The sequence below is a fragment of the Homo sapiens genome, chromosome 20 (assembly GCF_000001405.40).
Source record: "Homo sapiens chromosome 20, GRCh38.p14 Primary Assembly".
NCBI classification, from domain to species: domain Eukaryota; kingdom Metazoa; phylum Chordata; class Mammalia; order Primates; family Hominidae; genus Homo; species Homo sapiens.
The window spans coordinates 11,850,371-11,871,583 of NC_000020.11; the positions used below are offsets into that span (position 1 = coordinate 11,850,371).

A 21,213-nucleotide genomic window follows, 5' to 3' on the forward strand; every position below is an offset into this window, starting at 1 on the left:
CTATGGTCTGAATGTTTCTGCCCCCGCCAAATTCATATGTTGAAATCCTAATCCCCAAGGTGACTAAATGAGGGGGTGGGGCCTTTGGGGAAGTGATTAGACCACAGGGAAGAGTCCTCATGATATGATTCATGCCCTTATAAAAGAGGCCCAAGAGAGCTCGTTCGCCCCTCCTGCCAAGTGAGGACACAACAAGAAGTTGGAACCTGACCATGCTGACACCTTGATCTTGGACTTCCCAGCTTCCAGGACTGTGAGAAATACATTTCCACTATTTATAAGCCACTCCTCCATTTATGGTATTTTGCTACAGCAGCCTAAGGGACTAAGCATTTATCTGACCATTATGTAGAACCCAATTCTTATTGACTATAATCTCTCTGTCCTGGACATCTACATTTATATTCTTTTCATAATGCAAATAGAGTTTGGTTTGATGTATGATCCAGCTTTTTGGAATCATCTCCCAAATAAATATTTGCCTTTGAATCCTTGTCTCAAGGTCTACTTTTGGGAGCTCTCAGACTAAGATATATATTTAATGTTGAGAATGTTAAATTGAAGGAAACATGGATAAACCTAAAATTCATAGCAGACCAGACTGCCTAGGAAATAGAAGAGAATCTAGTGGAATGAAACAAACGTTAATTAACTCTGAGAAGCAGGGCTTGAAGGCAAGAATGGGCTTGTTCAATAGGTCTCCTTGGGCAGGGAAAAGTGGGGGTGGTGTCCATCTTGATCTTACTCATGGTTCTGAAATGTAAATTAGCCACCAGAGGTCACAGTGAGTGAAAATGTCATCAGGACGTTTCTTAGAGTACTCGTGGTACTATTTTCCAGTTTAAAAGAACAAAATAACAACAGCAAAAAAAGCAGAGGATGTGAATAGGAAACTCACAAAAGCAAAATGAGACGAATTAATTTATAGAAGTTACGAAAAATACATAAACTTATTATAAATTTAAATGCCTTTAAAAACAAATGCCCAGTTCTCTTACTGGGACTATTGAAAATTACAAAATCAGACTGACCCTCATACTGAAAACAATGTAAAATGCTAGCTAAAATATGAATAACATATTTTTAGATGCATGCTGACTTAATAAGTAAGTGCGGACTTTTCAGGGGCCAAACACCAATTGAAAATAGTACATCGGACAGGCCAGCAGACAGTCAAGGCCAACTTCAGGCTAAGGACATTTGACAAGTCCAAGGAAATTTGAGATTTGGTGGTTCTCAAAATCTAGTTGGGGGATGGAGCTGACTGGGATCAGGAGACAAAGCCAGAGCTTACACACATACAATGCGATCCACACAGGGCTATGCCCAGAGCAAAGATAAATGGTGGGGAGGTGGGAAGCTGCCTTTACTGCCTATCCTCCACAAATTCCCCAATGCTTCACACCACATGGATCAGTAAGAAAAGTGGATAATCTGAGACCTTAGCATTGGGTGAGTCACAGCTTGTTCCTTTCATAAGTCTGCAACCTAATTACTATTACCTGTATGGTCTGAAAAGCCTCAAGCTAAGAACTTGGCTTAAGGCTGCATTTTTGGGGTTAGATTAGCTTTACTAAATAAACCCTGGAGGCCAGGAGTTTGAGACCAGACTGAGCAACATAGTGAGAACCTATCTCTAAAAACAAACAAACAAACAGCCAGATGCAGTGGTATACTCCTGTAGTCCCAGCTACTTGGGATGCTGAAGCAGGAATATTGCTTGAGCCCCAAAATTTGAGGTTGCAGCAATCTATGATTGGGCCACTGCACTCCAGCCTGGGTCACAGAGTGAGACCTTGTCTCTACAAAAAATATTAATTAAAAAAAGCCCTGAAATATCAGTGGCTTAACACAATGCACATTTATTTATCGCTTTCACCACATTCAACGCCACAGGTTGGAAACTGGAGGTGGGGAGTCCCCCCTATCTTCATTATATGGCTCATAAGGCTTCCCTGAGCATCTACATCTACCTGTCAGTCAGGGGAAAAAGGAGTGTGTGGAGATGTCAGAGGTAATGTGGTAGAGTGTTAAAAATGGCCCCTGGTGAATCATGTCTCCCTGTCCCCATGACTCCTTGCAATATGACTTTGAAGAGGTGGAGTCTACTTTCCTATGCCTTGAATCTGGATTGAACTTATGACTATCATGGGCCAATAGAATGTGGTGGAAGCAACATTACAGAACTTCTCTCTCAAGCCTTAAGTGGACTGGCAGCATCTACATTTTCCCTGTTGGGCTCAACCACCATGTTGTAAGGATGTCCAGGCAAACCTGCTGGAGAAAGAGGCCAGGTAGAGGCCAGAGGTATGGGTCATCACATAGAGAGACAGGTCACAAAGAGGGGAATAATAGCATCCCAGCTCACAGTGAGCACCAAAGATCCCATATATGGTAGAGATTATCTTGGGCTTTCCAGCCCCTGCCAGCTTATACCATAATGCAGTCATGTGAGGAGCCCAGACAGGACCAGCAAAGTCTGGCTCAGTCAACTGACTGTTGAAATAAATAAACCTATTGTTATTTTAGGGCACCAGGTCTTGGGGATTGTTTGTGACACAGCAAAAGGGAACTGAAATGGGTGGTGTTCATTTGGTAGTATGGATTTTATATTCCATGTTTGGAAGTGGGTCATCACTCCATTCCACTCATATTTCATTGATGAGAACTCAGGCACAAGGCCACACCCAACCCCAAGAGAGGCTGGGAAATGTAGTCTAGCTATGCATCCAGGATGAAGAAGGAAATGTTTTGGTGGACACCTATTTCTACTAAAGAAGTGTTCCTCGTTTGTTAGTTCCTACACTCTAAGAATAGGCAGAAACAGATAGTGTCTGAGGGAATTTACCATACTCCAGACTTCAAAGAATTATCATAAAGCTCAAAATAAAGAAGAAGAGGGAGACATAACTCTAACTATTATAGCTATTTCAAAAGAACATAGGAGGATGTTATCCCCCTAAAATTCAAAATAAGCCTATTCCCATGAAGATGATGTATCAACACTGACTCAACAGTAATAGGAAATCTGAGTGGCCTTATAGCCATCAAAGATAAGGAATCAGCACTTTAAAGCTTCTCTGCAACAAGAATATCAGATCCTAACAGATTTGTGGACAAGTTCTAACAAACATTAGGATAATTCAATATTATTCATACTGTTCTAGAGAATAGCAAAAGAAAGAATATTTCCCAACAGTTTATGAGGTTAGCATAGTCATGACACAAGAACCAAACAAGATTTAGGGAATGGAAATTTACAGAAAATTCTTACCCATGAACATAAGTATACAATCCTGAAAGAAAAATTCCAAAAATTGAATTGAGCAATATACAAAAAGGGTGTATCACAACCAATTTATATTTGTCCCAAGAATGTGATGCTGGTTTAAAAAGTTATATATATACACATAATATATATGTAACTTTTAATATATTAAATATATAAATTTATTACATATAAATAATAAAATTTACTGTATTCTGTATTAACAAGTTAAGAGTCTGGTTTCCAGTCTAACATGTAAGGAACTTGGAAGTCATCACTCTGTCCTAACAATACATAACAAGTTAAACTAAAATCAATTAGTTCTATCAGAGAATTTAGGTCACAGGGTAAACTGCTGCCCTAAAAATTGGACAGACAGACAGTTGGATACAGAGAATCAAAATTTAATAAAGCAGAGATTCACAGGTTAAAAACTCTCTGTGAGGACCAGTATTGGAGCAAGAAAATCTGAACTGTAAGTGATGAATTTTTGGAGGCTCATTGTGGACAAGCTGAGAGTTTAAAACTCTGAGGGGGCCTAATTTTGGGGGACATCCATACTTTTGTGAGTTTTACCTCAAGTAACTCTACTAGGTTCTCATAGTAATGCTTAAAGTTCCCTCTGCTTGGGCCAGGCGTGGTGGCTCACGCCTGTAATCCTAGCACTTTGGGAGGCTGAGGCGGGCGGATCAGGAGGTCAGGAGATCAAGACTATCCTGGCCAACAGGGTGAAACCCCGTCTCTACTAAAAATACAAAAATTAGCTGGGTGTGGGCCGGGCGCGGTGGCGCGGTGGCTCATGCCTGTAATCCCAGCACTTTGGAAGGCGGAGGCGGGTGGATCACGAGGTCAGGAGATCGAGACCATCCTGGCTAACATGGTGAAACCCCGTCTCTACTAAAAATACAAAAAATTAGCCAGGCGTGGTGGCGGGCGCCTGCAGCCCCAGCTACTCGGGAGGCTGAGGCAGGAGAATGGCGTGAATCCGGGAGGTGGAGCTTGCAGTGAGCCGAGATCGCGCCACTGCGCTCCAGCCTGGGCGACAGAGTGAGACTCTGTCTCAAAAGTAAATAAATAAATAAATAAATACATTTTAGTTGGGTGTGGTGGCACGTGCCTGTAATCACAGTTACTAGGGAGGCTGAGGCAGAAGAATTGCTTGAACCTGGGAGGCGGAGGTTGCGGTGAGCCTAGATCATGCCACCACACTCCAGCCTGGCAACAGAGTGAGACTCCGTATCAAAAAAAAAAAAAAGGTTTCCTCTGCTTTTAACATGGGGATGGGAAAAATAGCCATTTTGAAATAGATCGCTCTATTCTTAACAAGGTCTGCCCTCAAGATAAACTATTTTACCAAAGCCAAACCTATGGTGGTTTTACCAAAACCAAACTTATCTGAGAGAAGGAAAAAATCTAACTCCAGTCCCCTCTAGCCATCCTGTCCCAGCTAACTAGGGGAAAAAGTGAGAAGCACTTTTGGGTTCACACTCCAGGGCACAGGCTTAAAGCAGGCTGAGACCTAATCATGGGACTATAGAACCTTCTACCCTTCTCCTCTCCCCAAACTTTACCACACATCACCAAACACCTATTTACGGTGGTTCCTTTTACCAAAAACATCATGTCTGGCTATCAAGAAAAAATTACAAGGCACACTAAAAGGTAAAAACCATAGTTTGAAGAGCCAGAACAAGCACTGAAACGAGAGTCAGCTATGGCAGGGATGTTGGAATTATTAGATCAGCAATTTTAAACAACTGTGATGAGTATGCTGAGAGCTCTAATGGAAGTAGACAGCATGCAAAAACAGAGGAGTAATGTAAGCAGAGAGTTGGAAATTCTAAGAAAGAGTAAAATGGGAATGGGGAAGATCAAAAATACTATAACAGGAATGAAGAATGACTTAATAGGCTCATTGGTAGACTGGATATGACTGAGGAAAGAATTTCCAAGCTTGATGATATGTCAATATAAACATCCAAAACTGAAAAGCAAAGAAAAAAATACCAAAAAAAGAGGACTAGAATATCCAAGAACCCTGAAGCAACTACAAAAATTATAACAAATGTGTAATGGGAATAGCAGAAGGAGAATAAAGAGAGAAAGAAATAAAAGAAATATTTAAAGCAATAATGCCTAAGAATTTTCTTCAAATTAAAGTCAGACATGAAACCACAGATTCAGGATGCTCAGAGAACACCAAGAAGGAAAAATGCCCAAAACCACAGTTAGGCATATCATATTTAACCTGCAGAAAATCAAAGATAAAGAAGAAAACCTTTAAAGAAGCCAGAGGGGAAAAAAACTTATCTATAGAGGAGCAAAGAGAAAAATAACATCTGATTTATCAGAAACCATGCAAATAAGGAGAAATAAATGGACAAAACATTTAAGTACTGAGATAAAAAAAAAAAGCCCACCAACCTAGAATTCTGTATCCTGCGAAATTGATCATCAAAATTTAAGGAGAAACAGAGACACTCTCAAACAAGTAAAATGAGAGAATCTGTGGCCAGTAGGCCTCCCTTGCAAGAAATGTTAAAAAAAAAAAAAAAAAAAAAAGGTGGCCAGGTGTGGTGGCTCATGTCTGTAATCCCAGCACTTTGAGAGGCTGAGGCGGATGGATCACCCGAGGTCAGGAGTTCAAGACCGTCCTGGCCAACATGGTGAAACCCCGTCTCAACTAAAAATACAAAAATCAGCTGGGCATGGTAGCGTGTGCCTGTAATCCCAGCTACTCGGGAGGCTAGGGCAGGAGAATCGCTTGAACCCTGGAGGCAGAGGTTGCAGTGAGCCAGGATTGCACCACTGCACTCCAGCCTGGGCGACAGAGCGAGACTCCGTCTCAAAACAAAACAAAACAAAACAAAACAAACAAACAAAGTTTCCTCAGAGACCGGGAAAATGATATGGGTCAGAAAGAAAGAGCATTAGAGAAGGTATAAGTAAGGGTAGAAAGAAAGATTATAACAAAAAAAAATTAAATCACCTCAATACATATACGTATAGAAAGGATGATACATGAAATTAAGCTTACATTCACTACCTTTATTTGAAAAAACTCTTGAGCAAATTAGGAATAGAAAGAAATTATGCTAATTTGATAACAAAAAGAAAGAAAGAAAGAAAAAGAAAGAAAGAACTACAACAGCATCTAATTTTATGTGCAGATTTTAAAGAGTTTCAGAACAGGAAAAAAAAAATAAGCCTGCTATTCCACCTCTATTCAATATTACCTAGTGAAGTAAAGTAAGAAAGAGCGCTATAAAGCATAAAAATTGGAAGGAAAGAAATAGAGCTGTCATAATTCAGAGCTAATATGATTGCCTGCAGAAATTTCCCCAAAATCTATAGGCATATTATTAGAATGAATAACAGAGTTTAGCCAATTTGCTGGAACAAAATCAATATGGAAAATTTAATTGTATTTCTATAATCCCTAAATATTGTAGTATATAGAAAACATTATGTCAAAAATATTTAAAGTAAAAGGCAGTACTAGCTTGTGACTTTCTGTGAAAACAGCTAGATAGATTATGGAGTCAATTTGAATCTATAGATCTATTTAGGCAGAATTGACATCTTAACAGTATTGAGTCCTCTGATCCTTAAAAATGGTATATCTATTTTCTTATTTAAGTCTCCTATAATTTTCCTCAGCAGTGTTTTGGAGGTTTCATTATACAAGTTTTAAGTATTTCATATTGTTATATATTATACATGGTAGATTTTTCCATTATATTTTCCAGTTATTTCTAGTAGTTTTAATCCTACTATGTTATTGCAGAAGTGATATTATACATCAGTAGAGATAGATCAGCACTTAACAGTTATCCTTATTAAAAAAAAAAGAAATTGAATCCTTTACTACACACACACACACACACATACACACAACACACAAAAACACACACAAAATCCTCAATGGACTAAAAATTTGAGTGAAAGGCAAAACAGTTCTCAGAGACAGCCCAGAAACCTTTACTTACTACATTGGGATAAGGGAGGGTTTCTTAATTAAGACATGGAAAGTGCAATCATTGAAGAAAATGATTTTTTTGTTTTGTTTTGAAACGGAGTCTCACTCTGTTGCCCAGGCTGGAGTGCAGTAGAACGATCTCGGCTCACTGCAAGCTCCGCCTCCCAGGTTCACGCCATTCTCCTGCCTCAGCCTCCCGAAGAAAGTGATTTTTATGTCCATCATAGAGAAGTGTACAGAATAGGGGTTAGTATATCATACTCTAGAGAGTAATGGCTCATCTTTGAATCCTGGTTCTGTCACTTACCACCAAAAACTTGGGCTATTTTTATGCTCTCTGCCTCTGTTCCCTCAAAAGTAAAGTGGGGTTGATAATAGTATCCATAACATCAAGTTGAGATGAGAATTAATGAGTTACTATAGGATAGTAAGTGTTATATATAATAATGTAAATGTGTATACAATAAACATTTTTTAAGACAGAAACGAGAGTGAAAAGTCAAGCTAAAAACTGTAAGGTATTTGCAACACATAAAACTGACCCAAAATATTAGAATATCTGTCTATCTATATTCATTCATCTATCCATTCATTTATTCATCCACTCATCCAACTATTCATCCATCTATTCTCTTCCTGCAACTCAAAATGAAAAGGCAGTGAGCAAGAGACATAACAGGCATTTCCCACAGAAGGAAACAAGACTTTTCGAGAAAAATTTGTCATTGTTTAAGGAAGTTAAAGGTGACCCAACAATGTCACTCTTAGGAATATACCCTGGGAGAAACCATTACAGCTTTGCCTCAAGAGATTTATGCAAGAATGTTTATAACATTGCAAACACACACACACACACACACACACACACACACACACAGACACACACACACACAAAACAGACAAAAATTTCTGGTAAAAGTAGATTGGATAAATAAGTTGCATAATTCGGCTTTTAGTAAAAATGAGCAATTGAATATATCAACCTGGATGACCCTCAAAAACATGATATTAAGCCAAAAAAAGTAAGTCACAGAAAAATACAGGTAGTTTTATTCCGTTGATATAAAGTTTAAAACATTCAATATGAAGCAACAGGCTGTTTAGGCATAAAAATATATGTGATAAATGAAAAACAAAGGAGAATGATAAAACAGGGCATTTAAGCTGATTACCTCTGAGGGGACTGGTAGGGATGGGATTAGAACAAGACATGAGGCATGGGGCACTACATTTCCAATAGAAATGTTCTGCCTATCAAATCTGGCAGTCCAAAAGTCAGACTATAAAGTGCCACAGAAGTATCAGCCATAACAATTATAAAAATTTTAGTTATAGCTATTTGTTATAAGACAGTGATTTTCAGATTGTTCAAGAATAAAATTTAGGAGAGAACTTTATGACAACAAATAAAAAAAGAAGTTATAGAGTTAAATTTAAAATTTTAATTAAAAAATAAGAAAACAACAAAACAAAATTCAGCTATATGGAGAAGTGTATTTCATGAAAATACAAACAACACATAAACAACAAGCAAATAAAGAATAGCAGTATAAGCACTAGCCAAAATAAAATTTGAGACAGAAAGGTTTAATTTGAGCCAAAGGGTTCATTTTATTTTCCAAATTATTTTTAAAAACACATTGAAAATAGTATAGTCCTGACTCTAACAATTAACAATCTAAAAATGCATAGTTGTTTTTTATTATTCACGAAGTCAATAATTGTGTTTGTCTACTTGCTAAAATGTATTTGCAACCCCTAAAATCAATACTTGTACATTTTCAGTCATTCACTGACAAGTACAGAGCAGCAAAAAATGTGCAAGTTTTTGCTGTGGTCAAACTAAGCAATGCTCTACCTTCTTATTTCAGTTCTCATACTCTAAACAAGTGTCTTTTTTGTGGTCTATTTAGCACCTTTTTTTACATTTCTGTGCTTTTTTCTTATTGATTAACTGTTTAAAGTGGCCCCCAAGATTAGTGTCTCATGCTTCTAAGCTCAAGAAAGCTTGAATGTGCCCTACGGAGAAACTATGTGTGTAAGATAAGCTTTGTTAAGGCATGAGTTATAGTGCCATTGGCCATTCAATATTAATGAATCAAAATACATATATATATATATATAAGATAAGATGTCTTTAAGCAGAAGCATATGTAAAACACAATTGCATATTGGTTAGTTGATGAAAATATGACCAGTAGCTTGCAGGAACTTAATACAACATTTCCCCTAGGAGCAATGTTTCAGTGTTTGCTAATTGTGTTTGCACCATATTAATGGTGCATAACTACCTTAAATAGGGAGAATCAACTGTGTAAAGCACAAATCACAATCATAGTAGGAAAATTTAACATGTCTCTGAGAATCAAAAAATCAGTTAAATAAAATTTAATTGAAATACAGAGGGTCTGAATAATATAGACAATAAACTTGTTTTGGCTTTTGGTGTTCCTCTCCGCCCGAAGGAAGTTCTGCAGTTATCTCACATAGGTGAACTCTCCAACACCGCAGACAGCTGGATCCTTACCTCTTTACCATCAATGTCTTTTCTCTAGTCCAACTTAGTCACCCACTCCACTGGTCACATCTTAAATATTGTCATCATCAGAAACTGCACTATTTCTGAAATCGTAATTTTAAACATCTTAATCTCTGTGTACCATCTTTGCTCTACCTCACTCACAAACTCATAAACCCCCACTGCTACAATTCCTTAACTCTTCAGAGACTGCCAAAATATGGACCCCATAACTTTTTTATTCTCTCCTGTCCAACTCTATGTCCACGACTTCTCAATGTAATCACTCCCTTGCCAGTATCCCCAGATCTCTTTTCCTCTCCTGGTTTCCCTCTAACAAATGATCTCTCTTCAAAGCTCTAATTGGCCAGCAGCCTGTAGTTTTTTAGGACTCCACCAGAGTGTCAGTTCTTCTAGACAGCCTTTCCAGATAACCCTATACAAATTGAGTGCAGCTTGGTCTCTGCGTTTATTCCTTTCTTCTTTCAAAACACTTATAGAGGCTTGTAAATATTTTAGTAGACATTTGCTTTTTCCTCCTGTCTTTTAGACTACAACATAAGTTCCATGAGTACAGAAATCCTGTCTTGTTCTCCCTTCATTCCCAGTACCTAATATAAAACCTTGCATATATTAGAAGCTCAAAGGAATGGTTATCTAAATTTTTACCCTATAAAGAAAATACATTATTTTTAAATGTCTATCAGTGTAATGGCTACAAAGTTTAATTGCATATATAGATATCAATATAACCTTAATTAATTCTATCATGTGGGAATTGTGCGACCTACATGCTTTCACCATACCATAATAAAACTAAAAATACAATAAGGATAAAATAACCATAGCTAAATCTAACTAACTGGAAATCCAAAAACCTTGTTTTTAATAATTCTTGGAGAGGAGACAAAAGAAAAGATTAAAGAGTACAATTAAAAACATTTTATAAATTAAAGAACATTATGTATCAAAATCAACTGCATAAGTCTAAAATTGTCCTCAGAAAAAAGTATAGTCTAAAATGCTTTCTATTATTAAGCAAGAAAAATTAAAATAAATTAATTAGGTATTCAAGAAAAGAAGCTGAGGGTAAAAAGCACTAAAATGAACACAAAGTTAATTAGAGTTGAACTAATCAAGATAAAAACAATATTGGAGATAAAAAGGAAAAAGAGAAAATTATTCAAACACACTAATTCAGCCGATAATCTGTTGTCAACTGCACAAAAGGAAATAAAACATAAACAGGTATTAGAAATAAAATCTGGCATCTAAACAAAGGGAGGAAAATAAATTTAATTGCAGGAGAGTCTTTTTTAGCTAACATTTCCTCTTTGCTTTTTCTAGACATGTCTAAGAGCCAAGCTAAGCAGGAAAGTTTCATGACAGTTCACACAATGGTTTTCCTATATAGGCAAAGATGTCAACTTTAAAACGGCCTCAACAATGCCTGAAAAATCCTGCCAAGTTTCTCTGTCTGGTCCTCAATGACAAGGCTTCTACATTTTCCCACTGGGCCTTCCCAACTCCCTGCCAACTTCCTCCTATCAATAGCCTGACCTTCAACTTCTCAGAGAAAAGTGCAGCGACATTACCTTTTAATGTGTAAGCCCTTTAAGATCTTATACTCTGTTATTCACAGAGGCATCTCAAGTACCTCAGACAGTGCCTGGCTCAAAGTTACTACTGAAAATACATTCGAGGAGTGAAGGGATATCAGATCTGCACCCATCTGCATTCATTCCCTCTCCACCCTCTTCCATTTCAAGGGGAGCAGTGCCTCTCTTCCCAACCATGGCCAAGACTTCAACCCCTGCCTGAACTCCTATCCTTTCCCAGCTTCTCAGGAGTATTATATTGACAGTTAAACTTTTTTGCTTTATTATTTACACTCTAAATCTAATTCTTCCCAATAGTTTCTCATTTAAAACATAACTTAAGTCTTCTCATTTAAAACATAACTCCCCTCAGACCAACATCTTCTCTCCACCTTTTATCGCTCTCCTTCTTGTCAACTTCACGGATTTCCTGAAGAATTGTTTACATTGGCCTCCATATACCTTGGATCTCTGTGTATCCAAGTGGTAGCGGCATTTCATTTTGAAGAATAAAAGCAAAATGTGTTTCAATTTTTCTTTCTTCCCTGTGACTTCATTGAAATTGTTCTTGTCATGAATGGTCTATCTGAGCACATATCCAAAGATTATTTTTTCACAAGTCATCAAATATAAGCCTTAGTCCCCATTTGGAGTTGTTAACAGTCCCCTCCTTCTTAAAGTACTATCTTCCCCTTGCTTTAGGAAACCATACTTTTCTGGTTTTCCACCTACCTCTTCAGAATCTTTTTCTGAGTTCATTGCAGATTCATTCTCTTTTCCCCAGCCAGTAAATATAAATGGTCAGCAAGGCATTTACTCTCCCAGTTTAGTCTTGCTCAAGTATTACAACTCAGAGTTTTAAGGACTACCTACAAGCAAATGACTTAGAGTTTTAGCAACAGTTCACGTCATCTCTCTGACCTCCACACCTGGATATACAAGTGCCTTCCTCCATCCTTGCATATTCACTACAAATCCCCTCAAATTCAAAATCTTTGAGAATGTTGTCCTAGCCAGGTGAATAACAAAAACAAACAGCAACAGCAAAAACAGTTTATCTACTATTTACAACATATCTGACACCAAATTTGTAAGGTTTCTTTTTCATACCAACCACTTGTTTGAATGATGGTATTCCCTCTCAAATTTATTTTGAAACATAATTGTCAATGCAACACTATTGAGAGGTGGTGTGGCCTTTAGGAGGTGATTAAGTCATGAGGGGTCTGCCCTGATGAATGGAATGAGCATCCTTATAAAAGGATGCTGGGTTGAAGGGAGGGCTCTCTTACTCTTCTGCTTTTCACCACATGTGGGCACAGCAGATACAGCAACAAGGCACCATCTTGGAAGAAGAGATTGGGCCCTTAGACACCAAAACAGCTGACACCTTGATCTTTAACTTCCCAGCCTCTAGAATTGTGAGCAATACATTTCTATTGTTTATAAATTACCCAGTTTGAGGTATTTTGCTATGGCAGCCAAAACAGACTAAGACATCAACCAATTCTCCAACTCTGGGGACACCAACTGAGTTTGAATTTTGACATTAACTACCCATATTTACTGTAGACCCCCCAGGTTAAGGACTCAGTCCCTCAGGTCTTCTGTCAATTTTATACACCAACTGCAAGTCCCAGGTTGTTGTCCTGTACTTCTAATCAACTGGCTATAAATTAAGGGTTCCCAGACTTCCCACATCAGGTTAGATAACTTGTTGAATGTCTCACAAAACTCAGGGAAATATTTACTTATGTTTGCCAGTTTGTTATGAAAGATATTCTCAAGGATCCAGAAAAACAGCCAGAAGAAGTCCATAGAGCAAGATCTGAAAAGGTCTTGAAAGCAGGAGCTTCTGTCCCTATGGAATTGGAGTATGCCACCCTCCTGGCATATGGTCTCTTGTACCAACTTGATAGCTCTCCAAAATCCATCCTTCAGGGTTACAGAGGCTTAATTAGGTATGATGGATTAAGCCGTTGGCTATTGGTGATTAAGACAGTCTCCAACCCTTGTCCCCTCCCCAGAGGTCAGAAAGTAAGGTTAAAAGTTCTAACTCTCTAATCATGTCTTGGTCTTTCTGGTGACCAGCCCCGTTCCTAAAGCTATCTAGGAACCTCTGCCATCAGTCATCTCATTAGCATAAAAAAAGACACTTTTATTTCTCTCTGGAGATTCCAAGAGTCTTAGAAACTATTCTATAAGAAGCCAGGGACTAAGATAGAATATTATAACAACAGATGTTCCTCACTCCCTACCATCTTCTAAAGGATTTTAGAAGCTCTGTGCCAGGAACCTGGAAGAGATTAAATATATATTTCTTCTTGCATCATACCAAGTCAGTTCTAAATCAAATGATATAGAATGAAAGTAGAAGAGCTTAATCCTTCTGACTGCATTTAAATTGGCCTACAAAATATTGCATATGCCTTCAGGTAAGTTGCACACTAGCAGTATTAAGAACAAATAAACTGATATTAGTGATATTGATAAATTAATATTAACAAATTTTTTAGTCACAAAGCAGATCTCACTGACATCAATTTTGGGAAAGATTTCCATCAGGAGCACGAGAGAAGGTTAGTGGAAATCTATACAACCCTCACTCCCCATGTTTTATCCTTCACTAAGTTCTGTAGCTTGTTTTACTTCCATAGGCTTCTTGCTCCTTAAAGTTCCAGCGTGCCTTTTATTCCACTCTCAGCTCATAACTCATTTATTTTAATGCCAAAATTGAAGCACCCTAAAACACTCTTTAAGTTCCCACCACTTTAACAAATTTAGAAGCAAAAGGGCCCATGCATCCTGGTTTCTTTTCTGCTAATTAAAGATAAAGTTTCTCCTCCTCTCATCTAAGATAAACCCTCTGCTTGTGCCTTGGATATTCGCAATTTCTCTCTCTCCTGCATCCTGTCTTTACCCTCCTCACAATTGAATCATTCCCTTCAACATTCAAACATATCGTAATTTCTCACAACTTAAAAATGTTTTCTGGGTTCCAATTTCCATTTCTGGTAGTATGTCAGTTTTGTTCCCCTTTGTACTAAAGCTTTGCGAAAAAAAAAGTCTCCTCTTTCTCTATACTGCCTTTAATTTCTCTTCTTCTTCTCTTGAGCCATCAGAATTAGACTTTCAGGCCAAGTGTGATGGCTCATACCTATAATCTAAGCACTTTGGGAGGCCAAGGTGGGCAGATTACTTGAGGTTAGGAGTTTGAGGCCAGCCTGGCTAACACAGTGAAAGCCCATCTCTACAAAAAAACACAAAAATTAGCTAGGCATGGTGGCGTATGCCTATTCCTAGCTACTTGGGAGGCTGAGGCAGGAGAATCTCTTGAACCCAGGAGGCGAAGGTTGCAGTGAGCCAAGATCGCACCATTGCACTTCAGCCTGGGTGACAGAGCAAGACTCTGTCTCAAAAAAAAAAAAAAAAAAATTAGTCATTCAGCCCCATCATGCCAACCAAACTGCCATCTCTAATGTAGAGTTCAGGAAGCAGAGCAACATCCAGAAAAAGAAGCTGAAAAGGGCATGCCAATGTGATAGGAGGAAAACCAGAATAATGTGCTGCCCTAGAAATCAATGAACAAAAGTAATTCAAAAGGAAGAAAATGATGGCCTGATTCAAATGCTGCTGAAGATAGAATAAGATGAGGACTGGAAAATGGCCATTGGACTGGACAATCTGGAGGTCACTACGACCTTGATAAAAGTGAATTCCACAGAGACACTGAAATGAAAAGCTTAATAAATGGGCTCAAAAGAGAATGGGAAGTGAGGACTGTAAGAGTCCCCAAGATCACAATACTCAGGGAGAACGCACAATGCTCAGCATATAGTTGTATTTACAGTTATGATTTATTGCAGGAAAAGGACACAAAACAAACACAATTGGCAAAAGGAAGACGTGTAAGGAGTGAAGTCTAGGGGGAAATCAGGCATGGGCTTCCAAGTGTTCTCTCTCAGTAGAATCACATATTTAATTCCCCCAGCAATGAGTTGTGAGAAGTTTTACCAACTAGAGAATCTCATTAGAGTCTCACAACCCAAAGGTTTTATCGGACACTGGTTATGTGGACAGTCTTTGACTGATGCATACCAAAATTCCAAACTCCCAGAGTGACAGTAGGTGTCTGACATGAACCATATTGTTTATGTAAGCAGTTTGTATACAATGAACCACTCTTATGGTTAATGGTGGTGGAGACTCTCCTGAAATCCAAATTCCATTATAAGCAGGCCATTTAAAGTCAGGCTTCTCATATAAACTCTTTTCTGCACAAGGAGAGAGAGTAAGCAGGCAGAAACTACTCTTCTGATGAATTTTGATACAAAAGAGATAAATCAGACGGAAGTTGGAAAGAATATAGAATGTTAAAAGGATTTTATTTTTTATTTCATCTTATTTTTAATATGAGTGAGTTTACCGGATGTTTGCATGATGACAGGAATGATACAGTAGAAGAGGAAATTTGGTGAGGCAGGACAGAGTGGGATATTTGAGTGGAAAAGGAGAATGGGATTCAGCTCAGAATTAAAACATAAGCCTGGCTGGGTGGGGTGGTTCACGTCTGTAATCCCAGCACTTTGGGAGGCCGAGGGAGGCGGATCACGAGGTCAGGAGATCGAGACCATCCTGGCTAACACGGTGAATCCCCGTCTCTACTAAAAATACAAAAAATTAGCCAGGCGTGGTGGTGGGAGCCTGTAGTCCCAGCTACTCTGGAGGCTGAGGCAGGAGAATGCCATGAACCCGGGAGGGGGCGCTTGCAGTGAGCCGAGATCAAGCCATTGCACTCCAGCCTGGGCGTCAGAGTGAGACTCCATCTCAAAAAAAAAAAAAAAGAAAAAGAAAAAAAGAAACATAAGCCTTACGAGGGAACAGGGTAAGTTCACCCATCATGTAAGTAATTATGATTGTCAATAGACATAATAAATATGTGTCTACTTTAGTTATAAATTGTATTAACAAGAGAGTTTTGTATGGTCACAACTAATATGATTAAGTAGACAAAATCAATAGCTATCCTATTTCAAAAATCTAATGGGAAAGAAAAGATCATCATTCACGGTATCAGTAGGAAAAATACACTTATTTGGTATATGGAGAACTTATATGAAAAATGCTGTAAAATATCACTAATGGCATAAAATAGAGAAGAATAAGTGGAGAAACATATCAATCAATGTTCTTGAAAAGAAAGACTAAATATTGTAATAGAGTATTTTCTCCTCAAATTAATTTAATCAAATGTACTCATTCAAATCAAAACTAATTTCACAGTGAGGAAGGTTAAAATAATGATTTAAAACTTTTTATTAACTAAATTATCCTCAAGTTATCTGAATCAAATTAAGTTTACTGATTCACATCAAAATTAACTGGATTTTATAGAAGTAAAGTAAGTACTAAAATTTTTCCTCAATGTTATTTATTTTGTATTATACAAATAATATATATTAATTGTAGGAAATTTTAAAATACAAATAAGAATGTTTTAAAAAACGCAAAATACAACTATCTGGAAATGTAAGACCCAGGAACAGCCACTTCCTCTTTATATTTTATTGCATGTTTTTCCAGGCTTTTCTTAGGCTTGCAGTCCTTGACATGCCTGGTTCCAATATGCAAAACTTTCTGTTGCCATAGTTCAGTTATAAGTCAGTCCCCCATTAAGAAGTTTGAAATTTCAGTTACTGCATTATGTTAACTGTGAGTAATTGCATAAACTACAAACTTTACTTCTTGCTCTTCTGTCCACCAATCCCTTTGCACATAACATATGCACCTCAAAAATCAGTGACCAAAGACAACACCTCTTTCAAAGTCTGTCGGTAATTAGTCACTGCACATTTGTTATTCAGCTCAGACACAGACAGCAAAGCTTATAGCTGTGTTGCCTCTGTGTCTCCCAGTGATAAACCCATGTAACATTTTATAAAAATGAATAATTGAAAGAGAGAATTGACCAATAAAGTGAAAGATCAGCAAAAAAACAAAAAGTCGTCATGTCGGAAGTGCAATTCAAATAGAATGTAAATGGAATTATAGAAGAAATAGCTAACTCTGGGAACACTGGTACTGTTGCCACTGGATAGGAGCTTAGTGGAGGCAAGCGTATAGACATGAATGAGGAGTGTAGTTGTGACAGGAAGGACGAAGATGTCCCAGAGACGGTGATGCCAGTAAAAATACTTGAATTAAAGAAACTCACAGAGATATTTCATGACATTGAAAGGGCAAAGGATTTCATGTTGGAAGCCCATCCAAACTTAAAGGGAATATGACCATTGGCCAAGGCATAGAAAAGATGCTTGCTCCATATCATAAGTTATATGACCTGAAGGCAGGCACTATTTAAACTACCCTTCATAATTTTTTTTTTTTTTTTTTTTGAGACTGTGTCTTGCTCTGTCACCCAGGCTGGAGTGCAATGGTGCAATCTCGGCTCACTGCAACCTTCACCTCCTGGGTTCAAGAGATTCTTGTGCCTCAGCCTCCGAGTAGCTGGGATTACAGGCATGCACCAACATGCCTGGCTAATTTTTGTATTTTTAGTAGAGACAGGGTTTTGCCATGTTAACCAGGCTGGTCTCGAACTCCTGCCCTCAAGTGACCTTCCCTTCTCTGCCTCCCAAAGTGCTGGGATTATGGGCATGAGCCACCACACCTGGTCTATGATTTTTATTAATAAATAAAACACTTTAATTCCTAATGCTTCTAATGTGTTATATTAGAGGATATTAAACAGACACGGTCATGCCCTGTGTAATGACATTTTGGTCAACAATGTACCGCAATGATGGTGGTGCCACAAGATTATAGTGGAACTGAAAAATTCTTGTCACCCAGTGACATCATAGCCATTGTACCATTACCATGTACTGCAGCACACTACATTTTCTATGTTTAGATACACAGATATGTGCCATTGGGTTACAACTGCTTACAGTACTCAGTACAGTAGCATGCTGTACAGGCTTGTAGCACAGGAGCAATAGTCTATATCATACAGCTTAGGTGTATAGCAGGCTATACCATCTAGGTTTGTGTAAGTACACACCATTATTTTCAAACAATGATGAAATTGCCTAAGGAGGCATTTCTCAGAATGTATTCTCATTGTTAAGCCGCACATGACTGTATTAGGTTTACTAGTATTTCATTTCTGTTTATAACTTAGATAGTAAGAAACAATTTGTGTAGTCATTTTTACAGTGTTACACTACCATACCAAACAAGGGCTGCCAGTATATAGGATATTCTTTCCTTCTTTCTCTTTCCCGCTCTCTTTCTCTCTTTCTTTCTTTCTCTCTTTCTCCTTCTCTCTGCTTCATCTCTTGACCATTTCATAATAGTATAAGTACTTTAACAAAAATGGGGCCATAAGAAAACCATTGTTTTAAATTCTACTTTATTTGTTTCACATATAATACATTACTTTCACATTAACAAATATAAATAAACATCATTTTACATTCAGTAAATGCAGACTATTCCACTGATTGGACTGTGCCAAAACCCATTCAACTATTCTCCCATTAATAAACATTTAAATTATTCCTTTTGTTTACTAGCATGGGCAGAACAGCAAAGAGCTTTCTAGAAGCTTAATTGCTGAATCAAACAGTATATGTATGTATTTTTAAATTTGATACATACTGTTGAACATATTACTAAACTGAATTTCCAAAAGTTACCCCAATTTACACTTCCAGGAGTGAAGAAGAACCCAACACTCAGAATCCATATCAACAGTAGTTATTTTTAGTCTTTTTAATCATTGATAATCTGATAAGTAATTTTTTGCATTTTTTAATTGAATTGTTTAACTGAATTAAATTTGTGTGGTGTCATGATATATATGTTGGTTTTTATCCACAGTTCCTGGCTCCTAACTTCTACAGTACTTTCTATACTCTTGAGGCACTTTAGGCCTCAGGAAACAGAATCTCTCATTCTGGCCTTCTCCTGACTTTCTTTCACCTGCCCAAGGCAGGACTCTAATCTGATTGTGAGTCAAAAGACCCTCATTTCAGAGAGTCCTGCCCATAGTCTAGAGAAGGGAATGCTGCATGGAGAGACCTAGAGGAATCTGAACAGACAGGTCTTTCTGGGTTTAGATCATACTGTTTTTGTCCAATCACATTTTGACACAGTTGCTCATGCTTCCATCATGGACAACTGATGAAGCCTCCATAAAAGGCCCAAAGGACAGGATTTGAGGAGCTTCTGGATAGCTGAAGATGTGGAGCTTCCTGGAGGGTGTGTACCAATGCATCTCTTTATCTGTATCCTTTGCAGTATCCTTAATAATAAACTGGTAAATGTAAGTTCTGTGGGCCATTCCAGCAAATTAATTGAATCCAAAGAAGGGATAGTGGGAAATCCAACTTGAAGCTGGTCGGTCAGAAGTTTTGGAGGCCCAGACTTGAGACTGGGGGGAAAGAGGGGATGGTCTTGTGGGACTGAACCCTTAACCTGTAGGATCTGATGCTATCTCTGGGTAGATAGTGTCAGAACTGAATTGAAGGACATTCATGTGGTATCCACTGCTTGGTGTGTGGGAAAAAAAAAAACCCCATACCTTTGGTCACAGAGGTCTTCTGTGTTGATGATTATTGTGATGTGAAAGCAGAGGACAAATTTAGTTTAGGAGAGTTTTTCCACAACACAATGTGTATTGGAGCAAAATTAAGAGACCGTAGCAAATTTCTGTTTTCCATTGAGAAGCATAAAATTTTAGGTCATATGGTTTAAAGTTATTCATATTCAAATAGACTGTTCTGCAGTTCTTCAAAGACAGCTTTTATAGAATCTGATGTTATCTCAGCCTTTACAGACTAGAAAATAGGGGCTACCAGAAACAGAATACAAGTTTTAGATTCCATGAATTGTTCTTTTTACTGACCTGTTTGCCATAGAGGTCTAGGCATTCATAGTAATCCACTTGGATGTTGTTGTACGCTAAAAATGCTTCCAACATTGGAATCCCTAGAAAACAAAGCAGGGATTGACACATACTGATTTTGACATTGACTTTCTATCAAGAGTAAAAACGTAACACTAAAAGTGGGCAGAGGTAAGGAAAAAACCCAAGCTAAACTAAAAGTGAGCAATAAATCAAATTTACTTAAATATCAGAGTTAATTATCAACTTTATTACAACAAAAACTTCAAAGTTTAGCAATAATTTTATATTTATTCTGTGATAAAATGATGCCCTTGCTATTTATGAGGCTTGGGTAGCATAGCAGATTTTTAGTAGTTGAGAAAATTTTAACACTGGGAGTGTTCAAATTTCCAAGTTTTCTTGAATCATCAAAAGTTCTGATAAGATGAGACCTCTCATTCCTACATGACAAATATAGGCAGGAGCTGAAAAGTAACTGCTTCCTTTACTAAAGGGCAAATTTAATAATGTCTAACTTACCTTCTTTATTCAATTATATTGCCTGCCTACCCTTTGCTTAAGAAAATAAATCAATCTCGAGCTTCCTTACAAATTTATATTACTAGGAGAAGGAAAAGAAAACTCATTATGGAGCCTGATTAGCATATCAATTATACTTCAAAGGGACAGCAAATAAGCTTTATCATTCTCTGTAGACATTTTATTTCAGGAAATTATTTTTTTTCTTCAACATTGTTCTGCTAAGTTCTTTCCAACTACCTGACCAAAGAGATGACCTAATGCTGACATACCCTGAGTTAATGTGCTGTTTAGGGGTTACACAGGTTTCCACAGACGTTTCCATAGTCCTAATGAAAGCATTTATCCAACTTGATGTCACTGGACTCTGCTTTGCAGCTGAGAAACTTAGTCCTTTTATGTATCAGCCCCACAAAT

At 37.7% G+C, this 21,213-nt stretch overlaps 1 long non-coding RNA gene across 1 annotated transcript in view; it reads right to left on the reverse strand.

The window, feature by feature from the left end:
- The window catches only part of LINC00687 (long intergenic non-protein coding RNA 687), a 60,729-nt gene extending 40,384 nt beyond the window's left edge, over positions 1-20,345 (reverse strand). The window contains exon 1 of the long non-coding RNA NR_110635.1: positions 20,275-20,345. This is a non-coding gene — a long non-coding RNA (long intergenic non-protein coding RNA 687). The remainder of the gene's footprint in view (positions 1-20,274) is intronic.
- Positions 20,346-21,213: the final 868 nt, after the last annotated feature.